General features: G+C 40.0%; 1 long non-coding RNA gene across 1 annotated transcript in view; it reads left to right on the top strand.

The window, feature by feature from the left end:
* Nucleotides 1-4440, top strand: part of LOC105378764 (uncharacterized) — a 30973-nt gene extending 26533 nt beyond the window's left edge. Inside the window, exon 3 of the long non-coding RNA XR_947441.3 lies at nt 4367-4440. This is a non-coding gene — a long non-coding RNA (uncharacterized LOC105378764). The remainder of the gene's footprint in view (nt 1-4366) is intronic.
* Nucleotides 4441-26686: the final 22246 nt, after the last annotated feature.

The following is a 26686-nucleotide window of genomic DNA, read 5'->3' as shown; positions in this document are numbered from 1 at the left end:
GGGCCTGGCCCATGGGAAAGGTCAGGTCAGTGGTCGCTACTATTACAGTTGTTGTTTTTGTTATTGCCAAACAATGCTGTAAAAAATCTTATAAAAATTGGAAATTAAAAAGCATGTGAGTAGCGGAAGAAAGCTACAGAGATTTTTTAGTTGATGAATTTGTCTCTCAATGGAGAACTCCCTGAGGGCAGGTTCTGCATCTTATCTATCTGCATCCTTAGCATAACACGATACTTGGTACTGAAAAGGGATGCATTAAAAGGCTCTCTGATGTAACTGGATGCATTAGTCGATTATGTTAAGAACAATTGTAGTATTCTGAGTGCTCACTAGGTGACTGCTAGTGTCCTAGATCCTCTCCTGACTGTTTCATGCAGTCCATGCAACATTCCTGCTAGAAATAAGCTATTCTCCTATTTTGTGGCAGAGGCCACGATGAGGAGGTAGCCTAGTCATGATTAAGATGCAGGTCTATTGGATTCTAAAGCCCCTGCTCCTCACCACTGCTATACACACTACAGTATTGCCCTACAAAGTTAGAAGGTTAATGCAATATTCTAGTCCCTGAACTAAGGAAGGGGCATAGATGATGGTGAGGCAGAGAAGAAAGCAGCAGTCAATTGACTTTGGAGACCGATTCCTTGGGGAAGGGAATTAAGAGTTGGATGGAGGAAAAGAAGAAAACTAATGATCACAGAGAGAATTCACGAGAGAGGCAAGCTAGTGAGCCAGATTGCCCAGGATCTAGAGCGATACACTTCCCACCACCCCAGGCTCACGGTGGCTTTCCTCGTAGGTTTCCTAACAGGCCATGACCACAGTTGGCACTGGCCGGCTGCAAAGCAGGCCCGATCTGTAACAGCAGTGCTAATGGGAAGTTGGCCCTGCCCCAAGCGGGTATGGAAAGTGGCTGTTGGCTCTTGTAAAAATCCTTGGTCCCGGCCACTTTTCCACAAAGAGAAATTCACCATCCCAAAGAAACGCCATCGCCTGTTCCTGGTGCCAAACTCGAGGAAAATCAAGTCGTGAGACTCTCTCTCATTTGCCTGGGTGAAATGACAGATAGCAAAAGAGCTTTCAGTTTCCTCTACCCCCAAAAAGTCTGCCAGAGATATAAATATTTAAAAACAGGAGCTAGACTGAGAGGGTTAGCTTTCACTGTGTCTTCTTTGGCAAGCTTTCGATCCACCCACCAGATATCATTTTATTCTGTGTAATGGAATGGCAGTTCTGGGTCGCACATCCCAACTTCTGACACACTGAGTAGAAAAAAATGACTGTGACCCTTGTAAACTATTTTTGTAGTTTCAAACTGATACAGACTCAGGTTGTGAATGCCAGATTGAGTATAGCTATGAGAGGTTTAAATGCTTTTTTTTTTCCTGCTGTTTCCTTATTTTTATCTCCTGCTAAGAAGTCCTCTTTCTGATTTCTGTCCAGTCACTTAACTCCTTTTCCTTGGTACACAGGATGCAAAAAAACAAAAAAAAAACAAAAACAAAAAAAACAAAAAAAACTGCTTTCATTTCAAATTGGTTAAGCAAAGTACATAAAAGTGTACAGTCTGCATTTCTTTGTTTCTCTCCCATGACAGTCCCCAAAATTGTCGATAGAGAAGACAATTCAAAATTATTAATTCTCTTTTTCATATAGAGAAGTGGGTGCAAACCCCCATGAAATTAAACAGGGTTGAATCATCACAGATGACCTTCACAATCCAGGCCTTCATAATTTTAGGTGGATTAGAGAAAACTAATGAGGATTTTGAAACAGGCTTTGGACTAAAACTCTCATCATGCAAATCCACTGAAAGACCCCATAACTTTAAAGCACAATTAACCTGATCCCCAGTTCGCACCCTCCTGTATCGGACTCATTTTACTTCCTCTTATTCTACTGTCTTCACAAAACAATGATGACAACAATGCAGCAGATATTTTTCTCTATTTTTCATTAGATTCTGTTGTTCTTTTTCTTTCTTTTTCTTCTTTTCTTTTCTTTTTGTTCTCCATTGCTCTGTCCTCAGAGTCCTTTTTAATTTGGCTTAGGACTCACAAGAGTTAATAGGCGAAGGGGGTTGGTGGGGGAGGAACCCACTTGTTTTAAGCCTGGAGCCTGTCACCTTTTCTTGGCAATTACACTGCTAATGGCTGGGTCCCAAGCAAAGTGGCAAAGAATATCTCTTCTCACGTTCCCAACTCACAGTGCATTCCCAAATACCAGATGGTGTTTTTGGAATCCATTTCACTATGTTTGATATGACAATACTTTTGTATAATGTTAAATTATATATAACTATTGCAAATAGCTGAGATCAGAACAACCAAGAAGCGGAAAATTAGACACAAGAAGGAAAGATAGAAACTAAAGACTGTGGACTTTCATCTGCCCCCATTGTGCCCTGTTTCCCTTGGATTTCCTTTTAATCTGAAGAGGATTGGCAGGAGGGGTTGTGGTGTGGGGGCGGAGGGGGGGGTGTAGTGTGGAGAAGCATGGGGGGATGGGGAAGAGTGAAAAGTGGTGCTGCTGTGTTGTTGCAATGAAATTACATCAAATCGGGATCCTCTCCCTGTTAGAGTTTGGTACATATCATGAAAAACTTGCCAGACATTTCGAGAGCAGCGTCATCTCATTTCAATGGCCAAAAACCTCAAACTAAGCCAAAGAAGACTGATAAAGCCCCACGACCAACCCTTTTTGGAAGCTGTGTGTGTTTTTATTTTTTGTTGAGGGACAAGCCAGTGAATCACCAGACCTGAAAACCTCAGTCACCGCCTTAGGAGCCATGAGAGGGACAGGGAGAGAGAAAACAAATTCCGACCCAAAACAGTACAAAGGAATTCAACAGAAATAGTCCAGAGGTTTCTTCCTTGTTTGAGGGCATATGGATATATTGATTTGATTTCTAAAAAAGTGGATGAAACTGGACCCTTTCAATAAAAATATCTCCAAGAATCCACCCTTGAAAAATGCGAACAGCACCAATAAAGCTGTATTTCTACCCTGGATGGCCAAATGGAGTAAACACACCACTTTAATTTTAATTTTCTGGCTATTTGACAATAGGCAACCTCTGGTCCTCCTTCCCCAACCTTCAAACAGGCCTTATCTCCACATTGCAGGACTTATTGATTTCAGCCCAGAGCGAATGCATTACAGCCAAGTGATAAATTGCTTAAAATTATTCTTAAATGAAAATGCTGGAAAAATGCAGCTTTTTGAATGGAGGGAGGGCAGGACAATTTCCAAACTGCATATCTGAGAGATTCTTTCAGCTGATTGATTTCTTCTTCATCAGTCACATTACCAACCTTCAGAGGTGATCATCAGAACCAAGGCCCTACCCTATTCATGCCACTCGGATTGTACGTGGCGAATGAGTTTTTTCCCCTATCACCAGTCTTTGCTCCATGCTACCCCTTCTCTCAACAATTAACCCCTCCCCTACTTCCTTCTTCTCCCAGCATATAGCCGAACAGTTCTCCCTGGAAAGCTCCTACAGCTCCAGTGACTACTACATAATTAACAATAACTTGTAGTAATGCAATTTAAGAGTCCTTTTAATGGGCAGCAATGGTAGAATGTATAGCCCATCTTTCTTTGTCATCTGAGAAAAGTGGCCTCATGCAGAGCTGCTGGTTGCTGAGTGACGCTTTGTTGTTTGCACCAGACACAGTACCAGCTGCACTGGCAGGTAGCCGAAGTGCAAGGAGATAGCTGCCAAACTATGCTATACAAAGGGAGCGGTGCCAGAGAGAAAGGGACCTTTGCATGTGATGACCTTTGACCCCCAAGCCAGCATGGATCCCATATTCATCCCTTCCAGACAATTGCATCTTTCATTCCACCACAAACTATGATTAGAAAGGGAACATTTGTGATCAAGGTTGGTTAGCTTATAAGTTCCCACCAATAGAGTTATTGGATTTTTCTTCCGTTTTAACTGTGACAATATTTTCCTTAATCTGGGGTAGGAAGAGATAAGCAATTAAAAAAGGGAAAATTATAAAAGCAAAACAGTAATCCAGCCAATGGTGAGGGGTAGGGATTCAGGGAAAGTGAAAAGAGTTTAGATAATGGCCATATGGCATTTAAAAAGTCAAACGGAAATTGAACTCTACCTGATCATGGGGACCCTCCCATAAGGAGACTAATAGAATTGTGCATTTTTAAGGAAATTACTAACTTTCTCAATACTGCTATATAATACTTCCTTTATTCCACCAGCAAAGCTTTTGTTTGGGCAACTTAGATTAATGAGAAACTAACAGCTTGCATTTGAATATGTTCTAGCAAGTTCACTTTTGTTCTTCTTTGAAAAACACCAGTGATCTTTGGAAAACGGCTTTTATTTTGTGTTTTAAAGCCATTCTCCATCAGGACCTGTGAAAAGAAGCCTCAAGCTCAAGTAAAGACCACCTCAAAGTCACAGCAACCTTTTTGAACCTAACTCTTCACCATCTTGTCTAGTGGGCAGGGGAATCAGTTGTCAGCATTACATACCTACCACAGCTGCATACCAGAGTGAACCTAGGAAACGTTCCCACAGCGGCCAGAATATAATGATCCGAAGTATCAAATTCTACATCTTTCCAAAAAAAAAAAAAAAAAAAAAAGGTCTGTGGTGCACGTGGGGGTAGACTTTGAGAGCTTTTCCAGCAGCAGAGGCGTTTCTGGAACAGCCCTTCTTTGATCTGCCTCCCTATCAAAGGCACCGTTCCTTTGAGGCGGGAGAAAAAACTGATACCTGCAGGCCAGCCTGGGGGAGCCGCACCTGACTTCAGGCTCCCATGTGAAGCCGTCTGTTCTTTATTTTCACTCCGTATGAAGCTAATGGAATTTGCAGTTGATTAACCTCAAATCTGGAGAAGTGATCCAGTCTGGGATTGCAGCTGGCAGGGCTAGGGCTACTTGTACTTCTTAACTGAGTCAGACAGCAACAAGTGTTTTTCCTCAAAAAGTAAAGGCCCAGAGAAATGGGCATGAGAGGGAGAGTCCCACAGCTCCAAGGACAGCCAGCAGGCATGGAGGCAGACTGTCTAGCGTCTGAGCTGCAAAAATAAGATGATGGTGTCTAGCTGACAAATTAAACCAGGAACCTGAGATCCTCTAAAAAAAAATTCACAAATAAATACATGGAGGCTCTGCTCTGTGGAAAGTCAGCAGTGTTGTGGTTAAAGCACGGATGTTGGAGACAAGGACTCCCTGGCTTTGAAATCTGGCTCGCCTACCTATTGCTGTGTGACTCTGAACAAAATACGGAACTTCTCTGTGCTGCACTCTCCTCATCTGTCAATTGGAAGTAATCAAGGAATTTTAATGAGCACTAAATGAATTAATGATGGTAAAGTGCTTAAGAATAGTGCCCATCATAAGCTTATAGATATTTCCTTAAAAAATACATGGATTTGTTTTTAGGAAAATATGCGAATATACATTTTTCTTTTAAAGTCATTACTCTTACTCATAATGCATAAAGAAAAAGTAGAAAATTCTTCATCAGCTTCTAAAAGATAATAGTACAGGTATACTAATATTGTGTTTGGATACATTTTTTACGAAACTAACTCTCACATTAAAATTGATTGAATAAGCAAGTAAAAGACATTGGGTTGTTTCTTATTGTTCCGCATCAGACAGCAAAGGTTGCTGCTGAATTTTCTGAGGGGAAGCTTCCACATATGGTATATTTAGTGCATGAAATGTGGCATTTGGATTCCTGTGTTTTTTTTTAAATTGTCATATAAACAAATAATTCCAAACATATTTCTTCTTCATGGATTTGTTTCTATTTTGCAAATTGTTTCAGGCATCAATAAACAGGATTACACAAATGTGCATACAACTGCAAAACTCATTTAGTTTAGCAAGTGCTTCTCACATATTCATTTACTCAACAATGCTACTTTCAAGTCATGTCAACATTACTCCATTTCTGCCTCATGACTAATACAGTGTTACTTAAACCCATTTCACATCTTACATCCAAGGAATACCACCAACCTTTTTGGTTTGTACCACCTGGTTTCTAATTAAAATTAAATTGAGAAAGAAGCCTTCTGCAGAAGTGTAGATTCTTCCATAGCACACTTATGGGGCCGGCGTCCTCAGCAAGGATTTAAAATATAAGACCACTAATGTGAAAGCTCATTATAGGAAAAAAGCAAAAAGTGAAAAGCACATTAGACCAATTAAGAGGCTGTGAGTGAGAGGCATATGGGTATCCAAGAGTGTGATGCTTTCATTGTCCGTTCTTTCTATCAAGGAGAGTGAAAAGAATTTTTCACTTGTAACATAATACTGTGCCAATTTCAAAAATAGGTCCATAATATATGTGGATGATAGAACAGGGGGAAACACAAACTGAAGCCCCTCACCCTTAGCATAATAATAAGAGAATCTACTATTTTGTGTGTGGCGTCAGAGATTTCCAAACGCTCAACCACTCTAACCACCGTAAACAGGGAAACAATACCCGTTATTCACTCAATTTTCTTGAGCTAAAAAAGGCAAATGATAACAACATATGCTCCAAATGTGACCCATGCAGTTTAGCTTAAAGGCAAAATAAGATAAAAGTCAGCATTGCACACAGAGTTTAAACAGAAACATACGTATCTATACACTTTCTTTCCCTCTCCATATGTTACCCTGTGGTGGGAATTATAATACTGTGCATCACACCTTTCACTCAAGGATCTCAAGCCCCTCTCAGAAATGAACACAAACCCGTAAACCAGCTCTGAGAAGCAGGTGGTGAGTATTATTATTACCATTTTACAAATGGAGACAGTTAGTGTTCCCAACTTCTAGTTGATTGAACTCAAGGCACTGCCACTCTTTATTTGGGGAGGGGAGAGTGTTCCTTCTCTTCTCTCCCCCTCTCTCTCTCTCTCCCTCTGTCTTTAATTTCAGTGACAACACAAATGCATGGTAGCACTTAAAGGTGGCCTTATTCAATGATAGTGTGTAAAAGAGTTTGCTTCCCTTCCATTTACTTTCCTTCATCCCTGAAACTGCCAAATACAACTCTTGATTCTAAGAATGATCTCAAACCTTCTTCCATGTTTCTCTTTTGGATAGAGCTTGGAACACTAACAAGTGAAAGTCACAATCCAGGAAAGTGAGTTCCTGAATTTGATGTTTTCATTACCAAGAGTAAAATGTGGGCAGCTTAGAACTGAAACTGACAAGTAGCACCCTCTGTGATGCAAACTTTTGTGCTGCAGCTGGGGAAGTTGACTTAGACAGCTTTCCAAAGCAGCCTAAACTCTAAATCCAACAAAGAGGGGTATGTTTCATAGCAGTGTTACTCAGGACAGAGCTTCAGTTGAGGTTCTCAGTTACTAAATTTTAACCCAAGCACAACTGCTTAGGAACCTGAGGTCCAAGTGAGCACACAGAGGATGGTTTTGAGAGCAGGCTTCCCAGGGAAAACCAACCTCTGAAGTCAGCAAGTTGGAGCTTATGAATTATGAGCTTCCTACCAGTTTCATGTCCTCTGAAGTTGGGCTTCAATGTGCTATAAAACTGGTCTTGTGTAGATGACATGCTTTCTGAATTTGACACAATCGATTATTGGGAAAAAGAGTTTTTAAAAATTATGAAAGTCAGTTTGCTTTTCAGGTCCATGTATCTACTTGAGAAGAGCTCACTTTGCTGATACCACGTTCATAAAAATTTGTGTTTATGGGAAAGACTATTATACTCCTCATGAGATCCAGCACAGAGTGAAATACATAGAGATGCGGGCTTGAGAAGTCCTAGATTTTTTATTTTTAGGAGGATCATATATAGCCATAAGAGGGAAAAAAACATAAATCAGAGATCCCTCTTCCTCCATTCCCCTGCTTAAAACAAAAAAACATAAAACTACAAAGGAACAAAAAGGTGTATTTGTCTAATAATAATAATAATAATAATAATAATAATAATAATAATAACAGCTAACATTTTTGAGTGTTTATTTCACACCAGGCACTGTGCTAGATACTTTGTAAGCTCACACCCTTTAAAAATTATGAGAAAACTGAGGCTAAGAGGGTTTAAGTAACTTTCTCATGGTCACACAGGAGGTGCTTTTGGACTCTAGGTCTGTTTGCTTTCAGAGTTCATACTCTTAATCACTTCTTATATTGCCTAAGGTCAATTCTTACATTGCCTAAGTTGTTTATGTGAGTTACTATGGTGTAATTAAAATAGGAAGCGAGCGAGGTGGCAAATAGAAGTTACATGTAGAATAATTTCTTTATGAAGACCTGCCTTTCCTCCTCTGGATGGATCTCATCTGAATCAACTTTTACAAGCCTCCTAGAAGTCTAACTGGCTGTATCATAATTGTCTTTGCCTTCTGAGTAACTAAGCCAGTGCTAGTTGCAAGTATAGGCTCAACAGAAGTTTATTTAATAAATCAATAAATGAAATGGCTCTTGGTTCTTTGAAAACACTTTGACCCATCAATGGATTATTGGTGACAACTTTTAAAACAGTGGCTAGCTTTTCCAGGTGTTGAGCCAGCCTCCCCTTTCCTTTAGTCCGTGTGTGTCCATGGCATGTAAAAGGATGGAGCCATTGTGAAAGACAGCACGGTGGTTCTTCAAAAAGCTGAACATAGAATTACCATATGATACAGCAATTGTACTTCTAGTATGTACCCCAAAGAATTGAAAGCAGAGATTTGGACAGATCTCTGCATTCGCATGTTCATAGCGGCATTATGCACAATAGCCAAAAGGGGCAAACAACCCAAATATCCATCAATGGATGAATGAACTAAAAAAAGTGGTGTATATATACGATGGAATATTATTCCTCCTTAATCAGATAGGAAATTCTGACATATGCTACAACACAGATAAACTTTGAACATTATGCTAAGTGAAATAAGACACAAAAGGACAAATATTGTGTGATTCCACTTATATAAGATACCTAGAGTAGCCAAATTCATAGAGACAGAAAGTAGAATGGTGATTGTCATGGGGTGGTGCTGGGGGTGGGAAGGGGAATGCAGAGTTGTTGTTTAATGGGTGCAGAGTTTTAGATGAAACAGTTTTGGCGATGGATAGTGATAATTGTTGCAGAACAATTAAATGCACTTAATGCCACTGAATTGTACACTCAGAAAAGGTTACAATGGTAAATTTTATGTTATGTATATCTGACACAATTAAAACAAAAACCTATCCTCAAAGTCAGTGGGCAGTGGGCTGGATGTGTGAAATTGACGGGAAGCTTGGGACAGACCTAATCTCTCACAATACTACAATGCAGGGGTCCCCAACCCCTGGGCCATGGATTGGTATCCATCAGGTCTGTGGGCTGGTAGGAACTGGGCCGCACAGCAGGAGGTGAACAGTGGGCAAATGAGCATTACCACCTTAGCTCCACCTCCTGTCAAATCAGCGGTGGCACTAGATTCTCTTGCCAACACTATTGTGAACTGTGCATTGAGGGATCTAGGTTGCGAGCTCCTTGTGAGAATCTAACTAATGCCTGATGATCTGAGGTGGAACAGTTTCATCCTGAAACTGCTGCCCCCACCTCCACCGTCTGTGGAAATATTGTCTTCTGTGAAACTGGGTCCTGGTGCTGAAAAGGTTGGGGATTGTTGCTAATGGATTCCCAGTGCCCACCATCATAGGAAGAGTGTGTTTGGCGAGGGTGCTGATGGCCTCTTGGCAAGCTCTCAGGGATGGGGAAGTGGATGGCAGATGCACAGCCCCAAGGGCTTGGTGTTTCCTGAGCCTGTTGGTAGGGTCCACCATCTGGCACACAGGGCTGAGAGTTCCCAATCTCTGCTTTGAACACCTTTTGAATTTGAGTGGGTCTAGGGATACTGTGCATAAAATCTCTGGGCTAACGAGTTGGTTCCCATTTATCACTGCCCTTGGCTTTTAACATGATTTCTGTGCCACACAAAGCAATACCTTTTATCCAAGGTTGACTTACAGGACATCTCTCTTAGGCAAGGTCTCCCTAAGTACAATGAGGGCACTAATAAAGCCAACTGAATCAGATGCCTAATGATTTTTTGAAGATGCAGAATAGCTCCTTTCATGGGAAGTGGTATGATTGTTTAGGAATCTAGAAAACTTTTGTAAAGATGGAAGAGCAAAGTCACAAAACTGAATTCTGATCACTTCAGAAGTAAAGTGTTAGGACTTAAAGCTGCATAGGTAATGATATTCATCTCCTCCTATTTGTATTATTTTCAATATTTTACAGCTTTGCTTTCACATCTACCATTGCCACTAAGCCTTTGAAGGAGGCAAGGCAGAAATTTTTTCTAGTGTACACCTGAGGACACTGCTTAAAGTTCCTTCAGATCAGAGCCTATGCCTTGTTTCCCATTGTATCTTCAGTACTTGGCCTTTCTATCTCAGCTCTGAACATAACAGGTTTTCCAGAAGTTCTTGTTGAATGACTCTGAATATACAAAAAACTTTCAGTTGATTGGTTAAGGTAGTTTAGTAATGACAGCAAGGGCTGAAATTTCTTCAGCTTTCTTTTTCTGTAACATCTTGATATAAACAGTAGTTTTTCCTGCCAAAATCCTTCTGGAGACTCTGTCCACCTGTAAGGTTAAATACATCTTAGCTAACTGGCCACTAGCTTGGTGGGCTGAATGCCCTACTGGTTTCCCCATAAGGAAAAACTGTACATCTTGATCGAAAGCTGGCAAGGTAATGGTATTCCTCTAAGACCCCTCCATGCCACCCTGCACCTCACTGCCCTTCCTCTTGTGCTGAGCTCTCTGATTGGCCAGCTTCTGTCACCCCTTGCTGTCTGCGTCAGGTGATTCCCTGCCTGCCTCTAGACTAGCTGCTGCTGGCCAGACTTCCTTTATCTCTTGGTTTTCTATCGCTGTCTTATCAGGCAACCCCGCTCCTGTTGCATCCTTCCAGGCCTCCCTGCCGGGTGCTGGGCCTTTGGTAGCAAGGCACTCCTCCTCCCTCCCCTGCCCCCATTTGCAGTGAGCTGCTTCTCTCCTTCCCTTCTCTCTATCACAGTCTGCTCTGTTTCCTATTAGGGGAGAGTGCATTTTAAATGTCTCAGCAGCGTCTGTCTCCACAGTTCCTCTGCTCCTACCATCCCCCTCCCAGCCCCTTTCTCAAGTCAGACACTAGAGCGGGTAGCATCAATTTACAGTTTCTGGCCAGATACCAGATGTTCTGGATGGAAGCAAATTGTCATAGAAATGTTTGTAATTTCAGATAAAGATCAATGCTGAAACTGGTAAGGATGGAAAAAAACAAAGGGGAGTACAGTTTTTACTGTTGTTATCACAATTAATAATAGTCCCAAGCAGTCCTTCTTTCTCTCTTTCTTTTTTTCATCCGGTTGGAAATGATTATGAAGTTTCTTTCTGAAGTTTCCCCAGTAGACAGTCTTCATCCTGTCCTGATGTCCACAGTAACATAGCTGAGAAAGGGTTTTTGTTAGATAGTAGAGAAAAGTGATAGGTAGTATCTCCAGGAGAAACCTTTGTTTTAATGAAAAGTTGTCATAGACTCTTAGGGATGGTACATGGAAGGTAATGCTGAAACAATCCAGTCTAAACACTTAATTTTGAAGATGAGGAGACTGAAATTGAGGCTTATAAAAAATAAAGTAACTGGCCCAAAGTTACACAAGATTGAGAAATGTTGCTTATTATAAAATTGTTCTTGGAGAGTCACAAAATGTAATAGCATGCTAAAGACACTGATATTCAGCAGTCAATAAATAAGTTTAACTTTAGCACATTTAGCTGATTTAGCACATTCCTAATCTATTTCACCATGGAAACTTTATTTTCTCCAGGTGATTAGGAATTAGGGTTCTGCAGAATATACTTTTGGAAAATCTGGCTTAACGTAACAAAGATCAGCACTGTCTCTACTCATAGAGGTTTTTAAATGGTATATTTGCATCCAAACAAAGATGCTTCATAAATAACTGGAATTATTCTGGAAATGATTCGGGGGACTTATAGAAAATACCGTGCCATTCCTCTGTGTTCTTTGGAGATGGTTGCTGGAGGTAACAAAACTCTCACATTGGTTTGGGGACATGTGACTAATGTTGATGTTAACTCCAAAGGCAGAAAACAACTCTTACTGTGGCACATCCAATAAGTGCTGTCTTACGAAGTTACAGGGGGAAGCCCAGGAGGAAAAATTCAAGTGAAGATTAGGTGAAATAAAAGTAACCAGAGTTAGTATGCTCCAGATTTGAAAAATGATAGCTGCTTATCTGTGCACATTTACCAGGGACTGAAGACAAGAACAAATATTCTGTGATATTTCAAGTTTTTAGAGGTGAGATAGTAGAATCAATAGTGAGTTTTTGAAAGCAGAAGTGGATGATATTTGTCTTTAGACCTTTATGCCTCTGATTTCCAATTGCTTCTGCTTCTTTCTTTTGGCCTTCTCTCTCCTTCCTTGGTGGGTGCAGGGTGGGTGAACCAACCCAAACATTCACATTTGCTCAGGCTATCCTGACACTCCACTGGGATCTAAGAACTGATCTAGTAAACTGATTCACTCATAAGGGAAAGGACATGCTGTGCCCACAGGTGGCATTTTAGCCATGTGATAGCTTGTTATAGAAAGAATTGAGACTCTGCACCTATTTAGAGCATAGGTAACTACCTACCCCACCTATGTGGGATCATTGAGAAAATAATGTGATCAAGGCAAAATGGTGGACTAAAGGGAAAGAGCTAGGCAAGCAATAGGTCAAATAAGTCATTGCCCTCATTTTCAAGAGCAGAGGTTTGGGGCAACTTCAGTTCCTCAGAACCCTGATCCACAAGAGAAGTATGACACCATTCTTATGCTCTTGCAGATGATGGCAAAGGGAGAGAACAGACAGCATTCAAAAAAGACAGTGATGTGGCAGTAACCAGATCTGTAGCCCTCACTAATACCAAAGTCACAGGCACTCACACACTCACACATGAAGGATCACTCAGTCCACCACTGTAGTACAGCACAGAAGGTATAGCACAATGAGGGTGGAGAGGAGTTTGATCAACAATTTGAGTAGATGAGAGATTATGCATCTCTTAATGAGCTTTTATAGATATTGTTGTAAGCTTAAATTCATATTGGTGAATTTCATTTTAATTTGTCTCATGGCAGACCTCATTTAATCCACACAGCCTGTAGTAGTAAAAGAATTCATTCAAAAGCAAAATAAACAAAATTCCTTTATTATTCTGAACGAATTTTTTTGTTTTTCTATTTTACTTTTTTAGAGACAGGGTCTCACTCTGTCACTCAAGCTAGAATGCGGTGGCACAATCATAGCTCACTGTAACCTTAAACTCCTGGACTCAAGTGATCTTCCCACCTCAGCCTCCCAAGTAGCCAAGACTACAGACGCATGCCACCATGCTCAGCTAATTTTTGTTTTAGTTTGGAGAAAAGAGGTCTTGCTATGTTGCCCAGGCTGGTCTCGAACTCCTGGGCTCAAGTGATCCTCCTGCTTCAACTTCTCAAAGTGCTGAGATTACAGGCGTGAGCCCCCGTCCCTGGCCTCTGAATGAAATTAAGTAGAAATGTGTATATTTCCCTTGCTTTCTAATTACTGTAATAGGAAAATAGGCAACCATAAGTATAGAAAATGAAATCAGTTTTTCTCAAAAATGTTACTTGCTGTATCAAAATTAACTGGGAAGACACTTCAAAGCATATCTGCTTGCCACCCCACCCCATCTTGGATGGCGTATCAGAGTCTGTGGGCTATGGGCATGTGTGGAGGGGGATCTCCAACTCCTAGGTGTGCTTATAATGCCCTGTTCTAGAACCACTTTTAGGAGATTTGTCTCTAGCTTAGTTTTAAAGAAAGACCATGGGATTTGGGACCATCTTGGAGTAGTTTTATGATATGGGGAGATTTATTAACTCTTTGAATCTCAGTTCTTTTGTCTGGAAAATGGAGATAACAATACTTAACACTTGAAAGGGTGCAGATCAGTGTGTTTGACAACATCAAGCAAGTGCCTGACACACAGTATAGTGTTCAATAACTGTGAATTTCCTCCTATTTCTAAATTGAACATTATATATAGTCACAAATTGATGCTCAGAAACCTGACTCTGAACTCTGCAAATCCTTATGCATTAAATAAAGATTCAAACTTAATTCCTTGTTGAGGCAGAAAAGTATGCTGTTGTTTTTGGGTTAACTTTCAGTTAACTAGAAAATAAAATCAAGTAGAGTAGCTCTTGCCTAGAAATGCTAATTGGCTGAGATATTTTTGTAGCTATTGACAAGTGCCCAGAGGATAAATCTAAGGCAACAATTTGGCTCAGGAAAGGCAAAAGGTCTATACATAATATTAAAGTTATTCAGAATTAACTCTTTCCAAGCACAGAGTGTGCCCTCCTTTTGAGAATTTTAAGAGTTGTCTCTTACATTTATATATAATTTTGAACTTAAAATGTTTATTTTCTGCTATGTAAATTCCAGCAAGCTCCAGCAAAGCAACAAACAGACAAACCTAATACTTCAGGATTTTGACATGAATGTCATTGGAAGTATAAGTCAATTTGAGGGAAAATTGTTACATTTGAAACATTTAGGATATAGTATGTTATATCCCCACACTGGAGATATGTTTAATCAACTCTTCTTAGTAATGACTTATAGTTTATTCATTTAAGTTGCACATATTTCTTCTTGGGGTTACTTCTAGGTATTTTATAATTTTGTTTTTGTTACTACTGGGAGTGGAGTCATTTTTCCATATGTTTTTTAACTGCCATTGTTTTCTATAATTAGCTTGTGGCTATCATTTTAGTACTCTATCTTATTAATTTCAACTGGTGCTTTTGGATTTTCTAAGTATTTAATCAGGTCATCTGAAAATAATAATTCTTTAGTCTTCCTTAATAATTACACCTGTATTTCTGTTTCATATCATTGGAGATGGTCAGAATTTCTTCAACATTAAATAGTAATGGTGACTGTGGCCGGGTGTTGTGTCTCACGCATGTAATCCCAGTGCTTTGGGAGGCCAAGGCAGGCAGATCACTTGAGGTCAGGAGTTTGAGACCAGCATGGCTAATATGGCAAAACCCCACCTCTACAAAAAATACAAAAATTATCTGGGCATGGTGGTACATGGTTGTAGTCCCAGCTACTTGGGAGGCTGAGGCAGGAGAATTGCTTGAACCTGGGTGGCAGAGGTTGCTGTGAACTGAGATTGTGCCTCTGCAGTCCAGCCTGGGCAACAGAGTGAGACTCCATCTCAACGACAAAAAAAAAAAAAAAAAAAAAAAGGAAAAAAAAATGAGAAAGAAAAAGAAAAAATAGTAAGGGTGATTGTGGGCATCCTTACATTGTTATTGCTTTTAATGGCAATAATTCTTGTTTTGTCATTAAGTATGATGTTGACAATTCTCTGTTACTTCCTAGCTTTATTGCATATGACTAGACAAGAAAGCCTGTGCAATTTTCACTTTTGGAATATATTGGGGTGTGTGTGTGTGTGTGTGTGTGTGTGTGTGTATGTCCACACATCTGCATAACACAGTAAATTTTTGGTTAAGGTTTTAAAAATACTTTTCAAGGTGCCATATTCTCTGTTTATAGAGGCCAACATTTTCTAGGAGCCTTAATAGTATTAATTATATTTACTCAAATTGTCCATGTCATTATTTCTTGCCTAATGAAAACTATCAAAATTAAATAAATCTGTGTTAAAATTACATGCAAACCAGTTGTGGTCTTGTCAGTTTCTCTCTGCTTTTCTAATAGTTTTAAATTTATATCATTTGATATTAGGTTAGTTGGTGCATGAAGAGACTAATTACTACTGTAACTTCATTATCTCATTTTCCAATTTATCAACATAAGTAATATAAATAGTAGATGATATACACATAATCTATTTGCTCTTATTTAATTGCTTTTGCTTTGAAGCCTGCTTTGCCAGAAATTATCACTTCTATTTTTCATTTTATTGTTTTCAATACCTCTTTGCCATTCTTTTTATTTTTAATGTGAACACTTTTGTTTTAGATATGCCTACTGAACGCAGCAGATATTTGGATTTAATTTTTTACTCCAGTTTGAGAACTTTTGTTTCCTAATAAAGGGGATTTAAGCCATCTGTATTTACTGTCAGATGGGTTGCTTTGTTAACTTCTGTTGTTCTGTTCTACATGGTTTTCTTTTTTTCTTTCTTCCTTTCTTTCTTTCTTTTTCTTTCTTTCTTCCTTCCTTCCTTTCTTTCTTTCTTTCTTTCTTTCTTTCTTTCTTTCTTTCTTTCTTTCTTTCTTTCTTTCTTTCTTTTTCTTTCTTTCTTTTCTATTTTGCTTTAGGAGTTTGATATATGGAATGCCCTGTGTGTTTTTAACTTCCTTAGTAATTGGGAAGGTTTATATCCTCTTTTCAACTTCACTTTAGTTTTCCAGAAGTCAGTTTTTGATCTTAATTTTTCTAATTATCAGATTCAACAATTAAATATAATTTTAGAATCTCTTCTATGTGAGATAAGACAGTGAAATTTTACTCCCCTTCCTAGTCCATTTTGTAAGCAATTCTTTTTTCTGTTTCTGGAAAGCAGGCTGAGTTCAGGTGTGGATTGCTCATTTATTTTGGCCTGGAATAAAGTAAACTTGGCTAAGTCTATTAATGTTTTGCATGTGCATCCTTTTTTACCCTCTTCTAGTTCAGAAAGTTTTTTTTCCTTCTGTTATGTCTTTGATTGTTGTTTCCTATTCAATTGTTCTGGTTTTCTTTGGAAACACCCTTGTAATTCTTGAGTTGGATCTTCACTTTCTGGGATAGGTGTCATTCTCTTTCATGTGTGTTTTATGCTTTGGGTAATTTGTCTGTGTCTGGGAAAGTTATTGGAAGTATGACTTTCAAATTACTGATCAATTTTCACAGGGTTAATTCTGCTCCATAGCAGTCTTAATACTGCTAATGCATTATTAGTTTTCTTGCATTGCTAGTTTGTCACTCTCATTTAAAATTCTACCCCCTAGTTTTTATTTCTTATTTTCTTCTAATGGCTTTTGACTCTTGTTTTAAAGAACAGAAATTTTAAATCTGTTTCTTACAGTTTTTATACTTAACGATTTTCAGATATTTTCATTCTGAGTCACCCTTTGCTTTTCTTCAGCAGCATGTAACACTTTTCATTTTTGCAGTGGAAAAATACAAAATTTTTATCCATTTTCAGATGTGGAGAGAATTATCTGGACTTAGTATTTACTTACATTTGGGTATGTAGATTGTTCCTGGTAATCCATCCACTCTCCATTTGGGGTCTGGTGAATCCTCTTCCCAGATTTATAGCTGTACATAAGATTGATCTTCTGGTCTGATTTCCAGTGTAGTAGGACCTTTCTGCTATTCTGCTTGTCTGTGTTAAGAATTTTTTTGTAACCCAGTGCTTGACTCCCTAACAGTCAGAGCAGATGGAATATATACAATTATAATTCCCAGCATGCATGTATACTAGGACTTTCTCCATTTCTTGACTGTCTTTTGGGTTTTACTAGTGGGACCACACTTCAGATGATGCAGCGTGTCACTGCTGGCTTCCCTGCCACCCTTACTTAATTGTTTTGTGGTAGTTACGTTATCTGAATGAGTGCAGAAATGTTAGTGGCAAAACAGGAATGGCTATCTCTATGTGTTTTAGAATCTGTGTTTTTGAATTAGCAGACAGACAGTGTAGATACCACCAAAAATCTCCTATCTATTTCTGTGAGCACATGGGCCTTTTATTTTATTTTTGCAGCATAGCAGTCATGGGCCACTAATTGTATGTTTCTATTCAATATCACAGACATGTAGTTAGTGACAATTCCTACCAGAATTGTCAGTGAGTCCATTTTTGGTACCAGTTGTCAGCATTTTAAAGATGTCCTGTCTTCTTTCATGTCTTAAGTATTACAAGGTTGGAAAGGTTCCATTAGGGCCTCCTAGCTAGAAGCCCGTTCAAACCAGAGGTCTCCAATTCTTTTAACTGACTTAGCATTGAGAGGGGCTAAAGGGGCTTAATTATTACACTTTCCAGGTCTTTAGTTCTGCAACCTTAAGTCCTGGATCCCCATGACAACTTTGTGGTTATTATTCTCCATGTGCAAAACTATTAATGATATGATTAATAACTAATGTAAATTTTAAACAACAAACATTAATATAACAACATATTAAATTAGTTAGTATATCCAGGTGGTTCAGGCTATAAATTTTAGAGTATGAGTTTTGGGCCAAGGTTCAAGTCCTATACCTGTCACCTACTAGATTTTTGAATCAACCTTAGGTAGGGTTACTTAACATCTTGGCTGCTAATCTATAAAATGTGAATACTTCATAGGGCTATTGTGGGAGAAAAATGATGTAAGACAAGTGAAATAGTCAGTAGAGATCCTAGCCCATGGATGTGTTCAATATATGCAATCTATTACTATTATTTTTAATATTATTATTGAACACATTCTTAAAGTTTCCTAACATAGTTTTCTTGAATAATGAAATAAAATAAACTCAAGATTAATAGATGCATTTTGATTCTATCTCCCGAGGGAACAAAAGGTCGTGGATATTCCAAAAAAACTGTTGACTAAAGGTTGTTGAGCTGAACCTGTGACAATTCCAAGTAGCAAAAGCATGCTTGTAGCTCTGCATGAATTTAAGTGACACAGGAAGTTTTCTATAGGCCTCTCTCACTGAGTAATCATCTTGGGAAGTAGAATTGTACCTTGAGAAGGGACCACATCTGCTTGGATGAAGTTTTTATCATAAATGCAGAATTTCTACAGTGTGGGATAATTTATTGTTAGTTGGATGTTTTTCGTAAATTTTCTGTTACAGAGAAGATGTCTTAGACACATGGCACTTGTGTTAGGCAAATTCAGTTGTTGGGGCCGATTAATCTAACACAGTGGGAAAGTGATTTCTTTGCTTCAAAATCCAAATATACCATCTTGAGTAAAAATGTTTGTTAGATATTCTTTAACCACCTTGCTAACTTTTTTTTTTTTTTTTTTTTTGAGACAGTGTCTTGCTCTGTTGCCCAGGTTGGAGTGCAATGGCATGGTCTCGGCTCACTGCAACCTCTGCCTCTGGGGTTTAAGTGATTGTCCTGCCTCAGCCTCCCAAGTAGCTGGGATTACAGGCACCCACCACTACACCCGGCTAATTTTTTTTTGTATTTTCAGTGGAGACGGGTTTCACCATGTTAGTCAGGCTGGTCTCGAACTCCTGACCTCAGGTGATACGCCCGCCTTGGCCTCCCAAAGTGCTGGGATTACAGGTGTGAGCCACCATGCCCGGCCCCAGCTTGCTAACTTTCTAGGCCCCTGAATATTAATCTCTTAAAACACTATAGTTACCAAAATAATAATGATGATAATGATGAAAATGATTACAATCTTAATAGCTGATCTTTATTAAGAGTATGACATGTGTTAGGCAATATTCTCAGTGACTTATACGGATAATTTAATCCTTACAACAACCCATGAGGCAGGTACTAGCATTTGTCCAACTTACAGGTGAGTAGATTAAGCAATTTGCCTGAGGTCACATTGCCTGTGAGTTGTGGAGAAGGAATTCAAAATGTGCATTCTCATTCCAGAGTGTGTGCTCTTAAACTAAACTCTCTTTATTAATTTCTCACTCTTCTTCCCCTTACAAACACATGCACATCCCTTCAATGATCAATACTTGAAGTCATTGTTGACTAGGTGTGTTGAACTACTTCTCCTTTCCCCCATATGGCCCATGGTGAAGAGAAGATAAAGAAATGGCCATGAGGGCTGGGCACGGTGGCTCATGCCTATAATCCCAGCACTTTGGGAGGCCAAGGCGGGCAGATCACGAGGTCAGGAGATCGAGACCATCCTGACTAACATGGTGAAACCCCGTCTCTACTAAAAATACAATAAATTAGCTGGGCGTGGTGGCAGGTGCCTGTAGTTCCAGCTACTCAGGAAGCTGAGGCAGGAGAACGGTGTGAACTTGGGAGGTGGAGCTTGCAGTGAGCAGAGATCGCGCCACTACGCTCCAGTCAGGGAGATAGAGCTAGACTCTATCTAAAAAAAAAAAAAAAGAAAAAGAAAAGGCCATGAGGATTTTGGTAGAATGTGTCTATTTGCAGCCTGTGTTTTTAGGCTTAGCAATAGTAGCCTCTTCTATTTGGATCCCACTTTTTTAATTTTCAGAGAGGCTTTTTCTCCCTGTTGATTCATTTGATCTTTGAAACAGCCTCATGAACCATAGGAAAAATGACACTATTATTTTAAAGATGACAAAACTGACAACCAGAAAGCTTAAGGGGCTTTTTAAAGGCCATACAGATTACTGGAAGAAGATTTGGGACCATTTATAATATTGAAAGTAATAATAAAGCATTTATTAAATGTTTACCGTGTGCGAAATACCATGCTAATCACATCAGTGGCATTAACTCATATAACGCTCCACAGTCATAGACGTGAAATCACATGGCTGAAGTCCATTCCTAGCACATGACAGAGCCAGGTCCCAAACCCGGGGTGGGGCTCTCAGCTCTTTAGTCTCTAATTTCTGTTTTACTAGAGAGAAATGGATTTTCTTTAAAGACATAAAAGGGGACTTTATCCACATTAAAACACCTTTCTGTTTGTGGCAAATATTAATTATGACAACAATGGTTAATAATATCTCGGTGTTCACTATGGCAGCCACTCTACTGTCTATGTGCTTATTCAATCAATGAATATTTACTTACCACCCAGGTTCTGTCCTGGATGCAAGAAAACATGTATGAGTAAGACATTGTCTTTCGTGGAGCTTATATTATTTTGGGAGAAACATAAAGTAACCCAATAGTCACACATATTTATAAGCATAACAGCTCTATTTGTTTATATAAAGGAACATCTGGAATGTTCTGAGAGTTTATCAGTAGTGTCCTTTGATAAAGTCTGGGGATAGGGAAGTTTTCATGAAAAGGCCACATTCATATTGGGAATGGTGTAGAAGTGTTAACTACAAAGAGAGGAATGTTTCTAGGGAAAGCAGATTAATATGGGTAAGATTTGAGATTTTGGGGGTTTTGAGGAACTCACAGAAGATTAACTGGCTAGAGTATGTTTAGGGAGAAGAAGAATGACTCAAGACAGGCTTGGAAAGGCAAAACTACGCAGGTCTCATTAAGGATTTTGCTCTTTATCTAGGAGGAAGAGTAATCCATTGAAATGATGATTACGTGTGTCTGGAAAGATCTTTTAGCCTTAAGTGTAAAGAATAAATTGTGGAGGGCAAGGATGCCATGAGACCAGTTAGGAAGCTACTATGGTAATGTGGGCTAGACAGAGAGTAGCTTAGATGGGGGAAGAGTGGAGGAGATGGGGAGAGTGGATGGATTTAGGAATTACCTAAGAGGTAAATTTATCAGGATTTATTTGGGATTAGATGTTGGGTAAGCAAGAGGAAGGTGTGAGAATTCTTCCCAGATTTCTGGACTATGCAATATGCATTGTTTCATCTAATCCTCCTAATGCACTATGATTATTTTATTTCCAATTTGAAGACACAAACAGATTCAGAATGTCACTGTCCATCCCATGGTTATATACAGCACATCCACGGCAGAGCCAGGATTTGACCAGTGTGCTTAATCAGAAATTGGTGCTTCTGACAGCTGCTACACTGGGAAATGGGAAATAGGAAGAACTACCTGACCCACTATAGAAATAGGAGTCTTGGCCAGGAGTGGTGACTCACGCTTGTAGTGTCAGCACTTTGGGGGGCTCAAGGAGGGGGACTGCTGGAGCCCCGGAGTTCAAGATCAGCCTGGGCAACATGGCGAAACTCCATGTCTACAAAACATACAAAAAATTAGCTGGGGGTGGTGGTGCGTACCTGTAGTCCCAGCTACTCAGAGAGGCTGAGGTGGGAGGATCTCCTGAGCCCGGGAAGTAGAGGTTGCAGTGAGCTGTGATTGTGCCACTGCATTCCCGCCCCACCCTGGTGACGGAGTGAGACCCTGTCTCAAAATAAATAAATAAATAAATAAATAAATAAAGTCTTAAAAACAATAATTGAGCCATTGAGTATGGACTTTAATGAAAAAAATGGGCACCATTCTACTTTGAATATATGTACATCCTCAAAGACCAGTCTTATGACATCTGCTACTGCCATTCTTACGAGATCAGTGAGAAACGGACTAATATCTTTAGTGAGTATGATTTTGTTAAATGTTATTTTATAAGTAAAAAATACATGTTCATTGAAGAAAAATTAAAAGATACAGAAAAGCCAAAAGAAAAAAAAAATGAAAATCTCATGTTAACCTATAACTGAAGAGAAGGAGAAAATGCTTGCTTGGTTTTAGTTAAATAATAGCATACACTATGATTCTCTACCATGGGTATTTAGCAGGAAGCTCACTAGAGGCCTCAATTCCAGACCCAAAATTTTGTCAATACTTCGACTTTGGAAGAATTTTAGCCTTTAGGGCTCCAGTCTTCTCCTTTACAAAATGATGTGAAATGTTGCCCGCATTTAATTATCACAGTCTTTTTTTGAGCCTTAGAGCATGACAGTGCTGGACCTATTAGCATTATCACAGCATAGGAGAACTTAGCTTTGGGGGTTCTCAGACTATTTACTGGCTTCTTCAGCCCTATGACTCAGTTTCCTCATTGGTGGAGTGGAAACAATGATATTGACGTCAAAGGGATGTTTTGAGAAAAGCTCCCATGTGTGTAGAGCACTTGCTGGGCTCAGTGCCTACACAGAGCAAGCAGTCAACACACAGGCATCACAAATCTCCATCAACACATGGCAGGCAGCAGTTTGCTGGATAGTCTACCTCTTGTAGTCTTGAGGCTCCTGCTCTGGGGGAAGCAGAGTCCTGGAAGACCCACTAGCCCTTCTTGCCCTCACTTCCCCAACTTCACCTCCTACTGAACTACACTGTTTTGTTTTTGGGGGGTGGGGTGGGGTGGTGTGGGCGGGTAGGGAGGTGATACTTGCCAAAGGCTAGGCACTGGAGATATGACGTGTAGGACCCTAGTCTTTATTCTTAAGCAACAAGCAATGTAGTGGGGTTGGATAGTAAAGAGAAAAACTCCAACACAATTTAATCACTGTCATAGTACTATGAGCAAGCAGCTGTGAGGCCAGAGGGAGGGGGCGGGGAAGTGACTCATTTTGCCTGAAGGGACCTGAGAAGGCTTCAGGGAGAAGCCTTCATTTGTATGTAGCCTGGCAGGAAGGGTACAGTTTGTTGGGTGGAGAAAATGGGCATGAGCATCAGCCTGAGTGCTAGGGAAGAATCTTTTCCTGGAACTCATAGTCCATGAGACCCTACGGATTCCAAATCCATGGATGAAAAATCTGGGGCCAGAGTAGAGGGAAATGGAGTGGGCAGGTAAGGCTCTGCTGGTCTCTATCATCACCAGGCTTCTTTTTCTGCATCCCCTATGAATCCTCCAACATCTCCCAACATCTCTAGTCTGCCAAGTGTCTTTCCTGCGCCAGGGCCCCTTTTCCTATTTTAGATACTGACATGGTCCTCTGCCTCTCTTCTCCCACCCACAAAAGTCTGCCAGGAAGAAAAGATCAGACGTGAATGGTTTAACCTGTAGTGTAGTAATTTATGTGGGTTACATTGCTGTAATCCCTTTCCCATGTAACGTTTAAGTTTCTTTCCTCTTGTAGAATAAAACACTTTGATGCCAGAACCTCATTCTATCTTCTGATCCATGGTGTATGCACAATAGCTTTAGGCCCCAGGCAGCAGATGCATTCTGTTTGGTTAGTACAGTGTTGTATTCACTGTTGTTGTTTGTGGTAAATCACTTTCCAGTTTGTCACAGACCCCACCCCGCCCTACACACCCCTGTGTGTACTTATCACAGCCCCACTGCCTCTTCCACTTAGCTGACCTGCCTGGTCTGAAGACGTGTGCATTTGTGCTCCCCATTTTTAGCTTTGTTATTTCTTGACTTTTCATTGAGAAATTATATCAACCCCTCCTATAGTTATTCCCCCCTAGGTCAATTATTTATCTTTTTTTTTCTTATGCAGTTCTGCCAACAATACTGTATTGACTTGGACCTCAGTATTGGGCAATGTATTACAAGCATGCAAAGATTCCTTACTGTTTATTAGGACGGAGTTCAGGCTATGACACCTGATAACAGGGCGTTTCTCGCATACTTACAAAAACGAGAACTGAAGTTGCCATTTTTCTTTTTTTCTTTTTGAGATGGAGTTTCGCTCTTTCTCCCAGGCTGGGGTGCAGTGGCACTATCTCAGCTCACTGCAACCTCCGCCTTCTAGTTTCAAGCGATTCTCCTGCCTCAGCCTTCCGAGTAGCTGGGATTACAGGCGCCCGCCACCACGCTGGGCTAATTTTTGTGTTTTTAGTAGAGACGGGGTTTCACCATGTTTCTCAGGCTGGTGTGTAACTCCTGACCTCGTGATCCGCCCGCCTCGGCCTCCCCAAGTGCTGGGATTACAGGCGTGAGCCATCGCGCCCGGCCGCCATTTTTCTTAAAGTGAGACACAACGAAACAATATGTGATAATTTTACAGGAGTCCACCGTCAAATGTGGTTTCACTTTCTGCAGCTTCAGTTACCTGAGGTCAACCTCAGTCTGCAAATAGGTGAGTCCAGTCCAATAAGATATTCTGAGTGAGCAAGCGAGCATGTTCACATACCCTTTTTTTATAGTATAGTGTTATAATTGTTCTATTATTAGTTATTGTTAATCCCTTACTAGCCCCAATTTCTAAATTAAACTTTATCATAGGTATGTATGTGTAGAAAAAAATAGTATACATAGGATTCTGTACTATCTGTGATTTCAGGCATCCGCGAGGGGTCTTGGAATGTATCCTCCTTGGATAAGGTGGGATGACTGTAATTGATTCTTAAATGAATAGATGAAATCAATTATTTAGCCGACACTGTTTGTCTTTTCAACATTTGAAGAGGGCTTATCAAACCCAGCCGCTAAGGCATTTCCTCCGCAGGACTGAAAAGCACACATCTGTGAAGGAGAGGGGTTGAAGGATATTTGGGAGTTGGGGGAGGCAGATGGGATCATTCTCGGAACAAAAATGTTCTCATCTCCTAGATGAGTTTAGACTTTGTCTACACCAAGGTCACGTGGGGGAGATGGGATGTGTAATGTGATATTTATTTGGCAACGTATGTGGCCAGCCACATACATTGTGTGCTCAATTCAGCTTACAAGTGCCGGCTCCCGGCTCTGAGGGCCCCATGTGCTTTGACTTGGTGGAAGGCTGCTCTGCCAGGGTTTACGCATCCCTACCTCTGACCCGGTCATTATTCCCAATTATCATCCATTTAAAATAGTCAGCAGGGCAATAGCATGTGCACATCAAGGATCACAAAAGGAACTTGGGTTAGGAGGAATAAGAAATCTGTCCCACATGTGGCACTATTAAAAAGCTCTGGCTGAGACACACTGTTTATAGTCAGCAGTTGTCTGGAAAATAGATGTTTACTTGTAATGCGTGTATTAAGATCTTTGCCATTAGGCAATATATATCCTGGGTTGTGTCTTCTCCTACAGAAAACTCTACATTGGGACAAACCTTTAATTAGCAATTCTGTGGCAACAAAAAGTATTCAACACCAATACTGTTATATGTTGGCATTTCTGCTTATTATAAAAAAGGGAGACAGAGAGCCAAAACCTGGAACTTTTCTTTGGAAGGATGGCCTCTTTTTTTTTTTTTCTTTAATGGAATGCTCCATTTAAAACTGTAAGTGAAATATTTGCTAAATAAAGATTAAATTACTAACAGAAAAAAAAGTTCTCAATATTTGGCAAGAACTTAGACACACTGGGTTTCCCTGACCCGTGCATGCACCTTCTGATGAAAAGGTGCATTTTAATATGCCTAGGTGCATTCTTTGCATCAGACTCTCTCATCTGTCTAATGAATTTCTTTTGTTGGTGATGAGACTAGCTTTTCTGCTTCAGAACAGAAACATGGACAATGCTTCTGGAACAGGGACCAGGCACCACAAGACTTGTGTCCTATTCTTGCTTTTGACACAATATACATTTTTTCTGCCTCTATTATCTTAGCAAACAGACTTGTGCCCCTTGAATACCATCCTACGAAGGGATGATCCTACTTCTGTGAAGTTCTGAATAACATTACATTCTAGTGCTAAAATAATGAATTAACTTCAGACAAATTTGGTCTAAGATTAAGCAAGTGGACTCTATAGTCTGGGTGGCCTATCCTCGGCCTGGGCATATCCTTGGGCAGTGGGCAATGTTTTCTTAGTCTTGGTTCTTGTATATATAAAGCGGGACAATAATGCTTACTTCATAGGTTTGTGGTGAAGATTAAATGAAAAATAAAAAAAAATGTAAAGCCCCTAGCACAGATTCTCACAGATAGTTATCAATCAATGTTATTCATTAGGTGCGGAGGGATTCCCTAGTGTTTTTAAAACTTGAATGATGGCAGCTGGCAGAAGCAGCCACTGATTTTCACCCCCTCTGGCCCTTAGTAGGGGCCTAATACATATTTGGTGAATAGGTGAAGGAATAAAGGGCTACCAGAACAAGCCCCTAAATGTTAACTCCCAGCTCTACCAGTCTAAGCAACCAGCTCATTTTGCCAGATCACACACTCCTCTTCATCTTCTATATCTCTCAGTAGAACCCACCATTGCAATTAGAAGCAG

The sequence above is a fragment of the Homo sapiens genome, chromosome 1, assembly GCF_000001405.40.
Source record: "Homo sapiens chromosome 1, GRCh38.p14 Primary Assembly".
Classification (NCBI taxonomy): Eukaryota; Metazoa; Chordata; class Mammalia; order Primates; family Hominidae; genus Homo; species Homo sapiens.
This window is presented reverse-complemented; position numbering and strand designations above follow the sequence as displayed.